This window comes from Homo sapiens, chromosome 1 (genome assembly GCF_000001405.40).
Source record: "Homo sapiens chromosome 1, GRCh38.p14 Primary Assembly".
Lineage (NCBI taxonomy): Eukaryota > Metazoa > Chordata > Mammalia > Primates > Hominidae > Homo > Homo sapiens.
In genome coordinates, this window is record NC_000001.11 from 206,146,708 (window position 1) to 206,167,175 (window position 20,468).

At 41.9% G+C, this 20,468-nt stretch overlaps 1 long non-coding RNA gene and 1 pseudogene across 1 annotated transcript; one reads left to right on the top strand and one right to left on the bottom strand.

Annotated features, from left to right (window-relative positions):
• Positions 1–456: 456 nt before the first annotated feature.
• On the top strand, positions 457–18,975 carry LOC105372873 (uncharacterized). The gene is made up of 2 exons (XR_922477.2): positions 457–569; positions 18,784–18,975. It is a non-coding gene; the product is annotated as an uncharacterized LOC105372873 (long non-coding RNA).
• On the bottom strand, positions 14,123–14,589 carry RPL22P4 (ribosomal protein L22 pseudogene 4; annotated as a pseudogene).
• Positions 18,976–20,468: the final 1,493 nt, after the last annotated feature.

The following is a 20,468-nucleotide window of genomic DNA, read 5'->3' on the forward strand; positions in this document are numbered from 1 at the left end:
AGGCGTACATATAGAAGCCCAGATTCCACAACTAAAGAATCAGGTTTTATACCTAGAGAGGCAGGATTCACATCAGGAGCTACTTTCCAACCCTGGAAAGTCAGGTTTCATAATTGGAAACCCAATTTCCATGTTTATAGAGCCAGGTTTTATGCGGAAGAGCAGAATATATATGCATAAAAAGGCAGGATTTACACCTAGGAGAGCTAAATATATCTCTGAAAGTCCATGTTTCATAAATGGAGTACAGGTTCCATGTTTATATGGTCAGGTTCAATGGCTGGGGATTGATATTCCATACACAGAGTGCCAGATTCCGTATCTGGGAGACCAGGTTCCATGCATGTAGAGTTGGCTTCTGTGACTCAAATGCCAGTTTCCATGCCCGGAGTTTTAGCTAGAGTGACAGATTCCACACTTGTAAGGGTATGTTCCATATTTGGAGATTGAGAATTCATATACACAGTACCAGTTTCCGTGTTTGTAGGGGTGGGGCTTATATGGACGTCCCAATTAATGAAATGCCTGCAAGTCTAGGTTTCATACATGGAGTGCAAGATTCCATGACGGTAAGGCCAGTTTTCATGGATGGAGTTTTGAGATTCCATACATATAATGCTAAGTTACTTGCTTTTAGGGCCAGGTCCCGTGGTTGAGTATTGAGGTTCTTATACAGTAAGTACCAATTTCAGCATTAGTAGTTCAAGTTTCACACTCAGAGACTGAGAGTTCATTCATGCATTGCCAGGTTCCATGCCTGGGGAAATAGGTTTTTAAGGCTTGGAGAGCCAACTTCTATGACTAAAACCCAAGGTTTCATGCCTGGAATGCCAGATTCCACATTTATAAGGCCACGTTATACTAGAAGATTGAGATTCCACACATGGGGTGCCATGTTGAATGCTCATAGGGCCAAGTTTCATGCTTTAAGTATATAGATTCTATGCTTGGAGATTGAAATTCCATAAATGCAGTACCAGATTCCATGTATGAACTGCAAGGTTAGATGATTATTGAAATCCATACATGCGGTGCCAGATTCTATGCTTGTAGGGCCAAATTCCATACCTAGATATTGAAGTATCATACATGGATTCCTGGGTTCCATACTTGTATGACCATGTTCCATGTTAGAGTTGAGATTCCAAACAGCTGGTGCCAGGTTCATGGTTTGGAGGCCAAGCTTCATGTTTTAGTGAGCAAACTTCTACAACTGAAACTCTAGGTTTCATGTCTGGGGTGACAGGTCACACACTTGTGAAGCCATGTTCCATGCTTAGAGTTAGAGATTTAATCCATTGAGTCCCAGTTCTGTGCTACTAGGGCCAGGTTCAATTTTTGGAGATTGAGTTTCCGTACATGGACTGCCAGTTTCCCTGTATGGGAAATGAGGTTCCTGATCTTGGAAAGCCAAGATCTATAATAAACATGCCAGGTGTCATGACTGGAGTGCCAGATTCCACACTTTTAAGGTCATGTTCCATGCTCAACACTGAGATTCCAAATATGAAATGTTAGGTTTTATGCTTGTGGGTCTGTTCCATGTTGAAGATTGAGATTCCACACATAGAGTGCCATGTCCCATGCTTGTAGGGCCAGATTTTATGCATGGATATTGTGATTCCATATGGAGTCCCTAGTTCTATGCCTGGCATAACAGATTCCATGCAAGGAAATCCAACTTCTGTGAATGGCACACAAGTTCTGTCTGTGCAATTTCAGGTTTCAGCCTATTACGATTTTCCATGCTTTGAGATTTTGATTCTGAATATGGATTGCTAGGTTCCATGCTTGTATAGTCAGGATCCATCCTTGGAGGTTGAGATTACAGTCATGGTGTGCCAGGTTCTATACCTGGAGGTAGAGTTTTACAAATGGAGGATGAAGTAATAGCTTGGAAGTTTACATTTCCACACTCTGCAAGACAGGTTTTACCTATAGATGGTAAAGTTCTTGCAATAGTTAATTTTATGTGTCAACTTGACTGAGCTAAGGAATGCCCAGATAGCTGGTAAAACATTATTTCTGGGTGTATCTGTGAGGGCATTTCTGGAAGAGGTTAACATTTAAATTGATAGACTGAGTAAAGAAGACCATTGTCATCAATGTGGGTGGGCATCGTCCAATCCACAACGGCCCAATAGAACACAAAGGTTAAGAAAAGACAAAGTTGCTCTCTCTTATTGAGCTGGAACATCCATTTTCTCCTGCCCTTAGACACTGGAGCTTCTGCTTCTCTGGCCTTTGGACTCTGGGACTTAAATATATATCCTATTGGTTCTGTTTCTCTGGGGAATTCTAACTAATACAAATCCCAACATGAAGAGTAAGATTCCACTTCTGTAGATCAGGATTCATTACTTTCTTGGCCATATTTCATGCCTAGAAATACAGATTCCATAGTTGGAATGTCAAATTCTAGGCCTAATGCCCACCACATTGTATAATTGGAGGTCCAGATGATTGCCTTATGATTCGGGTTCTATAGAACATGTTTCATGATGGCTAATCCTTATTTTATACTTGGAAGTCCGGGTTCCATATTTGGAGAGTAAGATTCCAGGCCTGGATGGTGAGATTCAATACCTGGTAGGCCAGATGACATTAAGTTTCTACCCAAATTCCACAGAAGGCCAGGCCAGGTTACAAACTGAAAGAGAGAAATTTCACACAGTTTACAATGCATGCCATGCTTAAAGCCTAATTTCATGTCTACATGGCCTGAATCCACACATAAAAGCACTGGTTCCACACCTACTGTGCAGATTACATGCTGGTAAACCAGTTTCCGTGCTTGGAGAACCAAATTCTGTGACAGAAGTGCCACGCTCCATATCTGAAGCTCCAGTCTCTTTGTGTGTATGGTCATGTTCCATGCTTGAACATTAAGATTCAGGTTCATACTTGGAAGGCCAGTCTCCACGCTTAGAGATTGAGATTCTACACATGGCGTGCTAAGTTCCAGTTTTATTAGTGGAGTCTGAAATTACCTTGATATTTACCTTTCTGCTCACAGAAAATCAGATTTTTTCCCATTTTAGGCCAAGTTCCTTACTTGGAGAACCAGATTCCTCTTCTACAGATCAGTTCTCATGAATGCAAGGTCTTGTTTCCTACTTAAAATTCCAAGTTCCATACTTGGAAGGTGAGATTTTGTGTCAAGTTGGCTAGATTCCATACCTGGTGGGCCAGGTGACATGCCATGAGATTCGGGTTCCAACCTAGAAGGTCAGGTTCCAAGCCTGGAGAGAGGGATTTCTCACAGGCTCCCATGGCATGCCTGGAAGTCCTAATTCCATGCCTAAAAGGTCAAGTTCCATATCTAAAAGTAAAGGTTTCAATCCTAGAGTGTCATATGTAATGCCTGGGGAAGATCACAACTGGGGAGACTCTTCATGGCTAGACATTCAGAATCCATGTGGGAAGGCCAGGTTCCATGTTTTAAGGGCCACATTCTACATAGAAGGAGCAAGTATTTATGCTTAGAAGTCTAGGTGTCATGGCCAGAGGTTCAAGTTCCATGCCTGTAGGGTTGGGGCTCATGGATTTCTACATTATATACTTGGAAAGGTAGACTTCACATCTAAAACACGTAAATCAGTTCCAGCTTTCCTACATGGAATGCCATATTACATGCTTTTGGGGCCAGATTCCCTGCTCAGAGGTTGAGATTTCTTTCATGGAATGCCAAGTTCCATGACTGTTGCATGTTTCCAGTCTTGGATATTCTTGGATTCTATACATGAAGTGCCATCTTCCATGCATGGGGAGCACCAGGTTTCATGTCTTGGGCGACCAACTTCTATGACTGAGACACAAGCTTAATGTCTGGAGTGCCAAGCAATATACTTATTAAGCCATGTTCCATATGGGGAGATTGAGATTCCACATATTGTGTTCCATTCCATTCCTGAAAGTTTAAATTTCATGCTTGGAGATAGAGATCCTTACATGGGGTGTCAGGTTCCATGCTCTTAGGGTCAGAATCCATTCTGGAAATTGAGATTCCATACATGGAGTGCCAGATTTCATGCTTGTAGAGCCAACTTCCATGTTTGGATATTGGGATTCCACACATAGAGTGGCAGATTCTGTGCCTGGAGGCATGGTTTTACCAATGGAGAGTCAATTCAGTGCCTGGAAGGCTACATTTCTACTCAGAAATTCAGGTTTTACCCACAGATGGCCAAGTTCCCAAAGTGGAGAGCCATATTACATTTCTTTGAATCAGGTTTCATGCTCATAACTCCATGTTTCATCTCTAGAAGTACAGATTCCATACTCGGAGGGTCATGGAACACCTGGAAGATGGCCAGGTTCCATACCTGATGGGCCAGACGCCATGACTTGCGGTTCAGGTTCAACCCACGGAAGACCATGATCCAACTTAGACAAAGAGGTTTCATAAAGCAGTAACTTATGGCATGCCTAGAAGGCCTGATTCCATGCTAGCGGCCCAGGATCCACATATAGAAGCCCAGGTTCCACACACACACATGTCGTATTTTATGCCTGGAAAGGAAGGATTCACACCTGGAGAGATATTCCATGTTTGGAAAGTCAGATTTTATATATGGAGGGACAGGTTCTGTGTTTAAAGGGATACATTTTATACCTGTGTTGCAAGTTTTCATGCTTAGAGGCCTAGGTTCAATGCTTGGAGGTCCAGCCACTGGACCTGTACAGTGGCTTCTCATGTGGAGGACCAGATTGTATGCTTGGAAAAGGAGAAATAACACCAAGAAGACCTAAATCAGTTCCTGAAAGTTCAGAGTTCATATAGGACTTCAGGTTCTGTGTTTGGAGATTGAGATTTCACATATGGATTGTCAGTTTCCAGCCTTGGAGAACAGGTTCCATATCTTAGATTTTTTAGAGAATCAATTTTCAATTTCCTAAATTCCAAAGGTACTCTTTTTTTTTTTTTTTTTTTTTTTTCAGACCGCGTCTTGCTCTGCTGCCCAGGCTGGAGTGCAGTAGCGTGATCTCGGCTCACTGCAAGCTCCGCCTCCTGGGTTCACGCCGTTCTCCTGCCTCAGCCTCCTGAGTAGCTGGGACTACAGGCGCCCGCCACCATGCCCGGCTAATTTTTTTTTTTTTTTTTAGTAGAGACGGGGTTTCGCCATGTTAGCCAGGATGGTCTCGATCTCCTGACCTCATGATCCGCCTGCCTTGGCCTCCCAAAGTGCTGGGATTACAGGTGTGAGCCACCGTGCCCAGCCTTTTTTTTTTTTTTTTTTTCCGAGACGGAGTCTCCCTCTATTGCCCAGGCTGGAGTGCTGCAGTGCAATGGCGCAATCTCAGCTCACTGCAACCTCCGCCTCCCGGGTTCAAGCAATTCTTCCGCCTCAGCCTCTCGAGTAGCTGGGACTACAGGCGTGTGCCACCACACCCAGCTAATTTTTTTGTATTTTTAGTAGAGACAGGGTTTCACCATGTTGGCCAGGCTTGTCTCTAATTCCTGACCTCATGATCCGCCCACCTTGGCCTCCCAAAGTGCTAGAATTACAGGCGTGAGCCTCTGCGCCCAGCCTGTTTCTTAAAATTAATATGTCTTATTGCATATGTGAGGTCAAGGTGTCATACTGTCTCATCATTTCCACCTCCTCTTTCACAATTCCCATTCTCCATTTTATTAAAAATGAATGAATGAATAAATGATTATCACATGTTTAAGGCTTCCTGAATTTAATTATGGGGCATTCCACTGGGGTGTAATTACCTGCAGCATGATATTGTAGAACAACTCAATATATGGAAGCCTCCTTTAGTCAAGAAATTGTAATCCTACACTAAGGCTACATGTTTTTGTCTTTATATTTTTGATAAGGGTGCAGCATAATATAGAAACAAGGTATTTGGGGACATCCTGAATTCATGTATATTGAGGAGTGAAGTGGCAGGAATTATGGCAAATTTTGTTGAAGGGTCTTGCCTTTTGCATTGCCTAATTATGATCAAATAATGCATTGCTACTATAGGAGAGTTCTGAGAGGGCAAAGTAGAGAGGCTCAGTACAAAATACAGAACTTACCAGAGCTCATTCCATCCTGGAGACAAACTTATGACAAGACTCTGTGCCTTATCCACCTCCCTGCCTCCTTTCCTTCCTGTCTTTTTATCCATCTTAGAATTAAGATATTTAAATTTTGTCTGAAGCATGTCAGAGAATAACAACATGCTATAAAATTTCACTTGTGTTCACCCATGTGTCAGCTGAGTATTTTGCATTGTTACATTTTTATTTTACTGTATTTTATTTTATTTTTTTTTGAAATGGGGTCTAGCTATGTTGCAAACTCCTGGCCTCAAACTCCTGGGCGCAAGCAATCCTCCTGCCTTAGCCTCCCAAAATGCTAGGATTACAGGTGTGAGCCACTATGCCCTGCCTATTTTGCATTATTTCAAAGAGAAGGTGAGGTCACACATTTACTTCCAACAGATCAACATTATATCTTCAAGTTAGCAAAAGCAATTGAAAGTAGGTAGTGGCATTCTATATTTCCATAAATGCTCCTTTAGACTTGTAAAAAAATTGTCATTAATTTTGGCCAAAAGCTTATTGATGTCATAAAACCATACTCAGTTTTTACTTGGACACATTCTCCTGCTGTTCCTCATCAACCACTTTGTGGGTTTAGTCATTCAAAGTATGTACTTACTAGATTTAGATTAATTCAATGGAGATATGTTGTGAATTCAACTGAAAATAATGCACTTAAATAATAATTACTGTATCTTTTGTAATCAGCACACTTACCAGAGCTTCAACACCTGCCTTTCCTTTTGCTATTTATTTCCACAAGATAGATTAAACTACATTTTTAACAGTAGAACATTTACTTATGTAGAACAAAATGTTCCTAAGCTGTAAACTACTGTGTAATGACCTGAACACTCTAGAAAGCCAGCTTCATTACATTTGTTTTGGGAGTGCGCACATAAAATGTTGAAGGACCACTGTATTAAAAGGCTATTAGCATAATCTCTAGGAGACACAACCAGAAAACCAAGCATAGAGGCTGAGCAGCCAGAACCAATACTGCTACCGCTGTCCCTGCCACTCAACACAGGCCGAATAGTGGGCAGGGATGCTATGCCAAGCCCCTGCCTTGATTCTCTCTGGAAACTGGATGTATCTTTGCTGCCTCTCTGCTGTCACCTGAAGGGATTCCCTCAGGACCCCGTCTTCATGACTTCAGTCTTCCACACTGAAATCACATGCAGGAGCACTGATTGGTGGAGTCTGTGCCACAATTTTTCCTCACTTCAAGGGAATCTGGGAAAATTTGGCCTCTATTTTCAAAAGGCAGACTCACTAGATGGGAGAGTCCCAAATATAAAGAGTATTCAAAGCAACTAGAGAGCTTAGAAAAAAAAAAAAGAATGACAAATGCTATCACACAAAGTATATAATAACACATGATTTTAAAAACAAATATTTTCTTTAATTCATTACATGATCGAGGATTGCATTTATGATGTTCATTTTACTCTAATGCTTTACTATAACACTGAGCCAGTTTTATGTTTCTCCCCATTCAAAAAATGATGCATGCTCCTCAAATTTACTTTAAATTAATTGCATGAAAAAGGATGATTAGTCAATAAATAAGTCTTGAAAAGACATATTCTATAGTGTTCGGTTTGGGGTTTTCATATTAAAATACACATTGAAATTTACTACATGATATAACAAGAAAAAAACTACTTTCAAGGCCTGATATTTGATTCTTCTATCTTGTATTTGAGAAACCAATGTATTTTACAGATTTTTACAAAACAAAGTAGACATTAATTCCACTTTTAGGGATGTAAATCCCCCAGGGTAACATGGTAAACCTGTCACGGATCATGACCCACTGGATAGGAAACACTGTTTTACTATTCTCTGGGAGGTATGTGAATCTCAACTTCCTGTTGCTTCCTGAATCTACTTGTGACACAGTCACAACTGGAGTGGCAGTAGCTAATCCCGGACTGTCCCTGCTGCTTGAGATCATCTAATCAGTCACTCCTCCACCTCATCTTTGTCTGTTTGATGTTGAAATTGTATTACATGCTTGAACTGATCAGCAATTAGATGGCTAGAGACCATTTTGACTGGCTGCCTCCCAGTCCTGCAATAAAACACAACAAAACTGTAAAACTAACCCAACCCAAGAAACCAGAGAACTAACCCAACCCAAGAAACCAGAGGACTCCCTGCGCAAGAAATCCACACTGGCCCTAGAGTGTCCCACGCAGGTTTGAACAGCAACCCTGGACCTGTGCCGCAAACTCAAGTGCAAGGGGACTCCGGTGGACCCTGTAATGGCCTATCTGATTTGGCTTCTCATTTACAGAGAATGGAGACTTTACACACCACAATGTATTATTTGCTTAAAGGTGCTTAGAAAGAACAACCTGAAACCTTTTAATCTTATTTGTTCATGTAGAAATGAAACCGTTGAGACCTTATCTTAATGCATATAGTATTCCAGTTGTAATCAGCAACCTTTTAGTTAAAGGAAAGTAACAGCAGGTTGAGATTGTTACTTTTCCTTTTACCAACCCATCAAATGGAGACAAGGGACTAGATTAAATACTAAAACAGGGAACTAATCTTTCAGCAGCCCTATAGGAGTTAGAAGCAAAGGCTCCTGGGCCGGGCATGATGGCTAATGCTTATAATCCCAGCACTTTGGGAGGCTAAGACGGGTGGATCATTTGAGGTCAGGAGTTCAAGACCAGCCCGGCCAACATGATGAAACCCCATCTCTATTGAAAATACAAAAAATTAGCCAGGCATGGTGGTGCAGGCCTGTAATTCCAACTACTCGGGAGGCTGAGGCAGGAGAATCGCTTGAGCCTGGGAGGCGGAGGTTGCGGTGAGTCGATATCTCGCCATTGTACTCTAGTCTGGGTGTCAGAGTGAGACCCTCTTTTTTTTTTGAGAAAAAAAAAAAAAAGAAGCAGCGGAGGCTCCTGCTGTTGAATAGACACCCTTTGAGGCAATGAATGACACATGTTAGCAAGGAGCCCATCTTATCTACGACTCATCCTCAAAAGGTCCCCAACCTGAAGCAGCCAGTGCCTGTGGTGGTGTAGATGGTGTCTGGAAAGGCTGAGAGGACCTCACTTCTTTCACTCACCAAATTGTGTACCTGTAATCCCAGCACCTTGGGGTGCCAAGACAGGAGGATCCCTTAAGGCCAAGAGTTCGAGACCAGCCTGGGCAACAAAGTGAGACCTTGTCTCTATAAAAAATCAGAAAATTAGCCAGGTGTGGTGGCAGGTGCCTGTGGTCCCAGCTACACAGGAGGCTGAGGCAGGAGAATCACTTGAGCATAGAGGTCGAGGTTGCAGTGAGCCATGATTGCACCACTGCCCTCCAGCCTGGGTAACATAGCAAGATCCTGTCTTTAAAAAAAAAAAAAAAAGATTCGAAGATCTTTGAACATTATAAAGAACATTACAATGGAATGTTATAGTATTAGTATTGTTGATATTTTAAAACCCAGGAGCTGTTAGCTCCTCCTCTCTGGCCTCTTAATCATAAATCCCTGTCCCTTCTCTATTGGGTTACAAGTCAACTGAGGCACCAGCATGTAAGCCTCATCTATACTTACTCAACTAATTCAGACAGGTCTAGGCCTGTAGGGGGTGGCGTGGGGTGCAGTCTGGGTGCAGGGGAGAGATGGACCCACCAGGGAGAGCTAATTATATCACAAGTAGAGGAACCTGTGGGAAGAGTATAGTGTTGGACATGTGGGTGCTGCTTTATAACCTCTTCATTTCTCAAATTCCTCAAGGAGAACCTACATTAAGGGGTGACCAACCAGCTGAACAATTCCCTTTGCTGTCAATCTATGACAAGGGGTAAAACATGACTAGTGCACTAAAATATCACTGGAAATAGAACTTCAAAGACGAAAATTTTTTTAAATCAGAAATCTCACAGAGAGTACTCAATAGGGTTGGAGTAAATACCTTGATGAGCCACTTGGGGATGGGGGTGGAAGGTAAGACCCCAAGGGGTATGCCTGGGTGACAACAGATGGTCCTTCTAAAAAGGATAGTCAAGTGAACTATGAGGCTATTGTTTTGGAGAGAGGTTGTAAGTTTGGGGCCAGAGTTAAAGCCCCTTGGATTTTGGAGGCTGTGCAGCTGATGGTCCTCCTCTTTATCCTTTTTCTACAGGGCACTGAGGAACTATTTAAAGAAAATACAACCCAAGTATCTGCAGGTCTCATTCTGGTCCAGCCCCAAAGCAGTGTTAGCTGCAGGGGAAGGCCTTACCCTGAGGAGAGGGAGATAGGATGTACCAGCTGATGTGGGGGAGTGAGGACACAGGATTAGAGGGGAGTGGATACTGTGAATTGCACCTAGAAACAACAGCGCTAGGGCAGGCTTCTTCCCCTTGAACTATGCTTCCATTAGGGGAAGAATGCATAAAATGAGTAAAATAAAAGCTGCAGACCAGGCATGGTGGCTCATGCCTATAATCCCTGCACTTTGGGAGGCCATATTGTACGGATTGCTTGAGCCCAGGAGTTGAAGACCAGCCCTGGCAATGTAGCAAGATCCTGTGTCTACAAATAATAATTTAAAAAAATTAGCCTGGCATAGTGACACATGCCTACGGTCCCAGTTACTCAAGAGGTTAAGGCAGGAGGATTGCCTAAGCCCAGGAGGTTAAAGCTGCAGTGAGCCATGATCATGCCACTATACTCCAGCCTAGGGGACAGAGTGAGACCCTGTCTCAATTAAAAAAAAAAAAAAAAGGTATATTCCCTGGGCCAGGTTTTCTCTCTCTGTTTATCTGGCTAACTCAAATTTAACCTTTAGGGTTGAGATTAGATCTTACTTCTCCCAGGAAGCCTTTTCTGATCTCCTAAGTCTGCATTAGATGTCATTCCTCTGTGCTCCGACAGATCCTGTATTTCCCCCATCATCACAGCATTTACAGTGTGCATTGTCATTGCTTGGTTACAAGGCAATTTCCTTTGCTAGTCTATAACTTCCATGGGGTAGGGACCATGTCTGTAGTTCACTGTCGTTTGGTGCCAAACAAAGTACCTGATACCTGGTAGGCACTCAATTATTTGTTGTTTGAATGAAATAATAAAGGCACAAGAATAGTGCTGCCATGTACCTAAAAGAGGTGGAAAATTTTCATGGTGGAGGGTGGCTCCCTGAGGCCAGGCCTTGGTATAGAGGCTGATGGACAGAACAGTAGCTCGTGGATTTCGGGGGCAGTGATGGCTTCAGACAGCCTGATACGTTAGGAGGAGAGAGGATACCAAAACAGCACCTTCAAAGTCAGGAGCTACATGGAAACAGAATGGAAGACATCAGCTAAAAGACACCCTAGGGACTTCTGCCTCTCCTCACCCTCTAGCAATATAAGTGGGGAAGGAGAAAGTCCCCAAATACAGTGATGCACCACTTAAAAATGCATTCTGAGAAGTGCATTGATAGGTGATTTTGTCATTGTGTGAACCTTATAGTATGTGCTTACACAAATGTAGATGGTGGAGCCTACTACACACCTAGCCTGTATGGCGTTGCTTATTGCTCCCAGGTGGCAAACACGTATAGCATGTTACTGTACTGAATACTGTAGGCAATTGTAATACAATGGTCAGTATTTGTGTATCCAAACATATCTAAACATAGAAAAGGTACAGTAAAAATATGGTATATGTGATATTTTGGTATACATATTGGCTTTCGTCCACAGCTCCTGACTCATAACTCCCATAGCCCTTGTTATATAATGTTGGGGTGCTACAGGCCTCAGAAAACAGAATGTCTGTCTCTCTGGCCTTCCGACCACCTCCTGCCCTCCTTTTTCTCCCCAAGGCAGGACTCTTCTCTCACCTCTCTTGGAGCTGACCATAAAGAAATTCTCTTACCTACCCTATCTGACTGTAGGTCATAAGAACCCCCAATTCAGAAGGAGTCCTGCCCCACACCCAGGAGGAACAAATGCTGCACAGAGATGCCAAGAAGAATCTGAACAGACAGGCCTTGCTGGGTTTCTCCACTCAGTCTATTAGTATTAGACCATACCCTTCTTGCCCATTTCTGCATGGTTGTCAATCATGACTACCCAATGAAGTCTCCACAAAGGCACAAGAGGACTGGGTACAGAGTATTTCCAGGTAGCTGAGCACATGGAGGTTTCTGGAGAGTGGCACACCCAAGCAGGGCATGGAAGCTCCGAGCCCCTTCCCCATACCTCGCCCTGTGCGTCTCTGCATCTGCATGCTTTGTGGTATTCTTTATAATATATAATTTTTTGTGTATTATAAAGAATATATAAATGTGTTTCCCTGAGTGCTGTGAACAGCACTGGCAAATTAATTGAGCCAAAAGAGGAGGATGTAGGAATCTCAACTTAAAGCCAGTTGGTCAGAAGTTCCAGAGGTCCAGACTTCTGACAGGTATGTGAAGTAGGGGCAGTCTTGGGGACTGTATGATCTGACACTATCTCCAGGTAGAGAGCATCAGAATGAATTGAACTGGAGGACACCAAGCTAGCGTGTCTGTAGAATCGACTGCTTGCTTGGTGGTGGCGAGAAACCGCCATACATTTGGTCTCAGGAGTCTTTTGTGGTTGTGATGTGAGAGGAGAGTAACAACAGTTTTTGTTTTTTCCACTAAGTATAAAAGATAAAAACGTATACTCCTGTATAGGGCACTTACCATAAATAGAGTTTGCAGGACTCAACGCTGTTCTGGGTGAGTCAGTGAGTGAGTGGTGAGTGAATGTGAAGGGCTAGGACATTACTATACACTACTGTGGACTTTATAAACACTCTATACTTAGGCTACACTAAATTTAACACATTTTTTTCTTTAATAAGAAATTAATCTCAGCTTACTGTAAATTTTTTACTTTATAAACTTTTTAATTTTTTAAACTTTTTGACTCTTTTGTAATAACACTTAGCTTAAACACAAACACATTGTACAGCTGTACAAAAATATTTTCTCTGTTTATATCTTTATTCTATAAGCTTTACTCTATTATCTTAAATTTTTAATTTTTTCTTTTTTTTTTGTTAAAAACTAGGACACAAAGACACACATTAGCTTAGGCCTACACAGGGTCAGGATCATCAATATCACTGTCTTCCACCTCCACATCTTGTCCCACTCGGAGGTCTTTAGGGACAATACCATGCATAGAGCTGTCATCTCCTATGATTACAATGCCTTCTTCTGGAATACTTCCTGAAGGACCTCCCAGAGGCTGTTTAACAGTTACCTTTTTTTTTTCAATAAGTAGGAGTACACTCTAAAACAACAAAATATATAGTAAATACATAAACCAGTAACATGGTCATTTATTATCATTCTCAAGTATTATGTACTGTATATAACTGTATGTGCTAGACTCTTATATGACTGGCAGCAAGTGGGTCTGTTTATACTGGGCATCACCATAAACACATAAGTAATGCATTGTGCTAGGACTTTATGACAGCTACATGGTTATTAGGCTACAGGAATTTTTCAGCTCCGTGATAATCTTCTGGGACCCCATCATATATGTGGTCCATTTGGCTGAAATGTCACTATGCAGTGCTTGACTATAATCCTGCTTGCAGCATTTTGTACCCCAACCATACCCTCAGGATGATATGCCTGGAGAAATGCCAGTCACACCTGGCCGTACCACCCACAGTCTTGGTTCATGTTCTCATCATCACAGTTGCATTAGATGCCTTAATGATCACCCTCCTCTATTTGGGCCATGGAGCCCTTTGAGAATCCAACAATAACTCTGAACCTCTCCACAGAAGAATCACATGGTCACACAAGCACAAAATTTTACATATAACAGACAACCCTTAAAAGCTAATCTACAGACCCTAGCTCTCATCTTAATCTTTTCTAAATTTTTCTCCATAGCGCTGCCAGGGTGAACTTGAAAAATAAATTTTATTGCATTGTTGGATTTTTATTAACTTCAGGGAAGACTTCAAGCTCCCTAGTAAAGTACATGAGACACCTCCCACATACTGCTCACGTTCCTTACCTACCTTTTTTACTCCATCACTGCTACAGCAATGAGCTGGTGTGACCCATTTCTTTGGAGAAATGTCTGCTCAGATCCTTTGCCCATTCTTTTTGGTTCCCAAGTTTTATTCAAGAATTCATTCAAAATATTCCAGATAAATAAAATTTAATCCTCATCTTTCTCTTCTTCTTTGTCCTGGTTAATTTGGAAATAACGTAATTCATAACTCTCTTTACTGTTAGCAACTATGCACAACCAATCACATAGATTATTGTTCTTCAAATATTTTTTGGTGAGATATTTCAAATACCTTCTGGAAAAAGGCACTTCCGGTGTTACGGTAAGCTTGCTCTTGCTCCTTTCGATGGTCACCACTCCTCCAAGATTCACAGCTTTTCTGTTCACTTTGATCCTCTCTTGCAAAAACTGCTCAAAATTGGTAGAATGGCGGCATCCATGATTCCATCTTCTATGGGGTGGATGCAATCAAGAGTGAACTTCAGAACCTGCTTCTTTTTTGCCCCCTTTCACCACAAGCTTTTTCACGGGCGCCATGGTGGCAGTGGAGGCAGAAAAGCCCTTTGCCCATTTTTAAAATTGGGTTATTTGTTCTACTGCTATTGAGTTGTAAGAGTTCCTTATATTTTTTGGATATTAATTCCTTATCAGATATGTGGTTTGCAATTATATTTTCCTAGTCCATAGGTTGCTTTTCAAGTTTGTTGATTGTTTCCTCTCCTGTGCAGAATTTTTTAGTTTGATGTAGTCCCTTTATTTATTTTTGTTTTTGTAGTCTGAGCTTCTGATGTGATATTAAGAAAAAGAAAAATCAGGCCGGGCGCAGTGGCTCACACCTGTAATCTCAGCACTTTGGGAGGTCAAGGCGGGTGGATCATTTGAGGTCAATAGTTCGAGACCAGCCTGGCCAACATGGTGAAACCCCATCTCTACTAAAAATACAAAAATTAGCCAGGCGTGGTGGCACATGCCTGTAGTCCCAGCTACTCGAGAGGCTGAGACAGGAGAATTGCTTGAACCCGGGAGGCAGAAGTTGCAGTGAACCAAGATTGCGCCACTGCACTCCAGCCTGGGTGACAGAACGAGAGATTCCGTTTCAAAAAACAATCATTGTCAAGGCAAATGTCGAGAGGTTTTTCCCCTGTGTTCTCTTCTAGGAGTTTTATGGTTTCAGGTCCACAGTACACTGTTAGTGGGAATGTAGATTGGTACAGTCATTATAGGAAACAGTATGGAGGTTCCTAAATAAATTAAAAATGGAACTACCATATGATGCAGTAATCCCTTTCCTGAGTATATTCCCAAAGGAGAGGAAATTATCACCTTGTAAACATGTCTGCACTCCCCTGTTCATTGTTATGTTATTCACAATAGCCAAGATAAGGAAACAAACTAAGTGCCCATTGACATTTAGGATGGATAAAGAAAATGGGTTTTGTGGTGTACATACAAGGTATTTTCAAAAAGTTCATGGAAAGTCTGTATTATAAAAAAAAAACAAAAAACTATGTGGCCGGGCGCGGTGGCTCAGGCCTGTAATCTCAGCACTTTGGGAGGTCGAGGCGGGCGGATCATGAGGTCAGGAGATCGAGACTATCCTGGCTAACACGGTGAAACAATGTCTCTACTAAAAAATACAAAAAAAATTAGCCGGGCGTGATGGCGAGTGCCTGTAGTCCCAGCTACTCCGGAGGCTGAGGCAGGAGAATGGCGTGAACCCGGGAGGCGGAGCTTGCAGTGAGCCGAGTTCGCGCCACTGCACTCCAGCCTGGGCGACAGAGCAAGACTCCGTCTCAAAAAAAAAAAACAAAAACAAAAAAACAAACAAAGAAAGAAAACACTATGTATGGATTTCAAAATTGTTCACAACAAAATAAACTAGTACTAACTTGTTTATAACATGTCTGGTCAGGATCTAGTTAGAGACACTAAGGACAACACATCAGTTTGAAAAGAGTCCCCTGTCGGAGCAACATGAATTCTGCTAAAATTGAAGCAAGAACAAGCATCAAATGTATGGTGAAGCTTTTGTGAAAGAATGATCAAATCACTGATTCTTTACAAAAAGTTTATGGAAACAATCCCCAAAGAAATCAGCAGTTTACAAATGGATAACTTGTTTTAAAAACAGATGAGGCAATGTTGAAGATGAAGCCCATAGTGGCAGACCATCCACATCAATTTTCAAGGGAAAAATTAATCTTGTTCATGCCCTAATTGAAGAGAATTGATGACTAACAGCAAAAACAATAGCCAACACCAGAGACATCTCAACTGGTTCCACTTACGTAAATCTGACTGAAAAATTCAAGTTGAATAAACTTTCCACGCAATGGGTGCCAAAACCGTTGCACCCAGATCAGCTGCAGGCAAGAGCAGAGCTTTCAATCCAAATTTTAAAGAAGTGACATCAAGCTCCTAAAGCAAAACAATTGTAATGGGAGATGAAACATGGCTTTACAGGTACGATCTTGAAGACAAAGCCCAAAGCAATGGCCACCAAGAGGTGGAAATGGTCGAGTCAAAGCAAAAGTGCATTGGTCAAAAGAAAAGGTCATGACAACAGTTTTGTGGGATGCTCAAGGCATTTTGCTTGTTGGCATTCTGAAGGGCCAAAGAACAGTAACATCTGCATATTATGAGAGTGTTTTGAGAAAGTTAGCCAAAGCTTTAGCAGAAAATTCCCTGGGAAAGCTTCACCATAGAGTCCTTCTCCACCATGGCAATGTCCCTGCTCATTTCTCTCATCAAACAAGGATAATCTTTTTAGAGTTTCATTGGGAAATCATTAGGCATCCACCTTACAGTCCTGATTTGGCTTCTTCTGACATTTTTTGGTTTCCTATTCTTAAAAAAACCCTATAAGGTACACCCATTTTTCTTCAGTTAATAATGTAAAAACGACTGCATTGATGTGGTTAAATTCCCAAGACCCTCAGTTCTTCAGAGATGGACTAAATGGCTGGTATCATTGCTTTCAAAAGCATCTTGAACTTGATGGAGATTATGTTGAGAAATAGTTTATATTTTCAATTTTTATCTTTTAATTCCATTTTTCCGTGAACCTTTTGAAGCTCCCCCCATACAATGGAATATTATGCAGTCTTAAAAAAAGAAAAGGAGACCCTGTCATTTGCCACAACATGGGTGGACTTGGAGGACATTAGGCTAAGTGAAATAATCCAGATACAGAGAGAAAAACATTGCATGACCTCACTTATACATGGCATTTTAAAAAGAGCTCAAATACACAGAGAGAATGAAACGGTGGTTACCATGATTGGGTGGTGGGGAGAGGAAATGAGGCACTGTAAGTCAAAGGATACGAAATATGAAAAGTCTCCACATCTAAGGTCCAACATGAAGACTAAAGTTAAAAAAAACTGTATCATATTGGGAATTTGTGTTAAATAAGTAGATTTTAGCTGCCCTTGTCACAAAAAAGTAACTATTTGAGATGATAGAAACATTAATCTGCTTCATAACTGTAACCATATTACTATTTATATGTATCCCATAACATTGTGCTGTAAACCTCAAGTATACACAATTTAAAAAATTTTTTGGCTGAGCACAGTGGCTCACGCCTGTAATCCCAGAACTTTGGGAGGCCGAGGTGGGTGGATCACCTGAGGTCAGGAGTTCGAGACCAACCTGATCAACATGGCGAAACCCCGTCTCTACTAAAAATACAAAAATTAGCCAGGCATAGTGGCGCACGCCTGTAATCCCAGCTATTCAGAGGCTGAGGCAGGGGAATCGTTTGAACCCTGGAGTTGGAGGTTGCAGTGAGCTGAGATTGCGCCATTGCACCCCAGCCTGGGCAACAAGAGTGAAACTACATCTCAAAAAAAACAAAAGATTTTTTTTTTAAATGACCTCTCCCCAATTTTCATTACCTGACCTTCCTCTAGGATCTCATGGTCCTGGGCTCCCCTCTTCATAGCACTTACTGCTGAGCTGTAAATATCCATTTATCTGTTGCCTCCCTCACTGGACTGTAAAATTCTTGAGGCAGAACCAGTAGGTTTTATCTATTTATCCTTCTCAAGCCTAGGACAGTGCCTGAGACCTTGAAACTCGGTGATTGTTGGTTGACAGGTTGAATGAGTGATCTATGAGATTTCTGAATCAAGCCTGGTGCATTTAATCTTTGGGTCTTGATAACATCTGGATCTGAATGAATCTGGGGGAAAGTCTAATTGAGCTTGATTTCCCTGTGACCTGCAGAGGCAGGAGTCCCAGCTTGACTGGTAGAGTGGGTGGGGAAGGCCTCTTCTACAGCACAGCCATAAAAAATCTGGAATTGTGACACTTTCCCCTAATGGGCCTCCTGGGACTTTACATGTCCTGTTGTGGGGAGTTGATTTTAACACAGAATCTGTCAATGCTTTATCCTTTTCAGGTCCAGCTTCATAAAAATATTCAAGAAATCATGTCTTCTGATTTTGCTTGATGATCCCTCTTGGGAGCCATATTTGAAAGGTTACAGTTTGCATTTTCGACATTAAAGTTTACTTTTTAATTTTTAAAAAAGTTACAAAGATGTAGGACGTTTGGCTTCTTCAATACTTATTTGCTAGAAGACTTTGGGCAAGTTACCTAAACTCTCTGGGCTTCAATGTCCTCCCATACATGTAAGCTAAATGTTCCAGGGCCACCTATGCCCATGGGTAACAGGCCAGCACAAGAATATGCTGACCAATTGATTCCTGGCTGCATAACCACAGAATCTCCTCTGTTATTTCTAGGTGCCTAGAGGAAGTCTCTCATAGATGCTCACGTTCTCTCGACAAGATATTTGGGGAGGACCCCTGGCTACTGTCACTGCTGCCATGCCTGCCAGGAGGAGGCACCTTCCTGACACTTCACTGCTGCTGCTCAGCAGGCCTGCCAAGTGGTTCTGCTGTGTTCTAGGAGAAACAGGAAAAATGCCTCTCCTCCCACTTTGCACTGTGCTTTGTCACCTGGGCCCTAAAACACCATTGCCTGCCCCTGACGCCCCAACAGCTCCCTCTACCAAACTGAGGCTGGGCTGGGAGACTAGGCACCACACCATTCCATTCTCCCTTCTCTTCTTCCATTCTCCCTTCCCTCCCTCTCTTCTTCCCACTGCCTCCAAGACACCTGTACTGGAACTTTGTCCATTCTTACACTCACACACACACACATGCACATGCATATGTGCACACACAAAAGTCTCTTGTCCATCAGATCATACAAATATATGCTTGGGACAGGGGTGATCACATGCCCCACATGCCCAGTGGACATTTAGGCTCAGATAGGACAATTCTTTCACAAGGATGACAAAACCTACCTTCCGTGGTTGCTGTGAGAACAAGAAATTGTACATACAGTGCCCATTCTGCAGCAAACCCAACAATGAATTAAAATCCACAATAGGACATGCGGTGGCTCACGCCTGTAATCCCAGTACTTTGGGGGGCCGAGGCAGGCGGATCACGAGATCAGGAGATCGAGACCATCCTGGCCAACACGGTGAAACCCCGTCTCTATTAAAAATATAAAAAATTAGCCAGGTATGGTGGCAGGCGCCTGTAGTCCCAGCTACTTGGGAGGCTGAGGCAGGAGAATGGCGTGAACCCAGGAGGCGAAGCTTGCAGTGAGCCGAGATCGTGCCACTGCACTCCAGCCTGGGCGACAGAGCAAGACTCCATCTCAAAAAAAAAAAAAAAAAAAATTCCAGAATATATAGAGAGCACCTTAAGAGTCAATAAGAAAAAAAGACAAACCAATATACAAAAAGTGAGCAAAAGATATCAACAATTAATTGAAAATACAAATAACCAATAAAAATATGAAAATATATTCTTAATCTTATTAAGTACGCAGGTAAAGACAAATTAAAACAATGAAATACCAATTTTTATTCATCAGATTGGCCGAAACTAAAGCCTGAAAATATAAAGTGTCCATCTTGCTGTGTGTAAATGGGAAATCTGAATCTGATGGTGGAGGCGTAAATTGGACAGCTTTTTGAAAAGAATGATTTAGCAGTATCTATTACAATGAAAAACATAGATACCTTTGCCTCAGTAAGTTTACCTCCAGGTGTGTATCCTAAAGAAATATTTAGAAATGTACCTCCAAGAGACATGTACAAGGAAGTTCCCTTACGCATTGTTTGTAAAAGTAAAACAGTGATGATCTCAATGCCCACTGATAGGGGAAAGGTTTAATTCACCATGATTCATAAATACAGAGAAATTCTATATAAAGTGGAATAGATTTGTGTGGCATGGAAGGATCGCCAAAAAGTATTTTAAGATTAAAAAAAAAGTAAAAAATATGTGCAGAATTATGCCTTTTTTTCATAGAAAAAAGTCTAGGGGATTCACTGCTCAGCAGGCCATCCTGGCTATCTGGGCATAACCACCACCCAGAGTGTAATTTCTTCTAAGGCAATCACCCA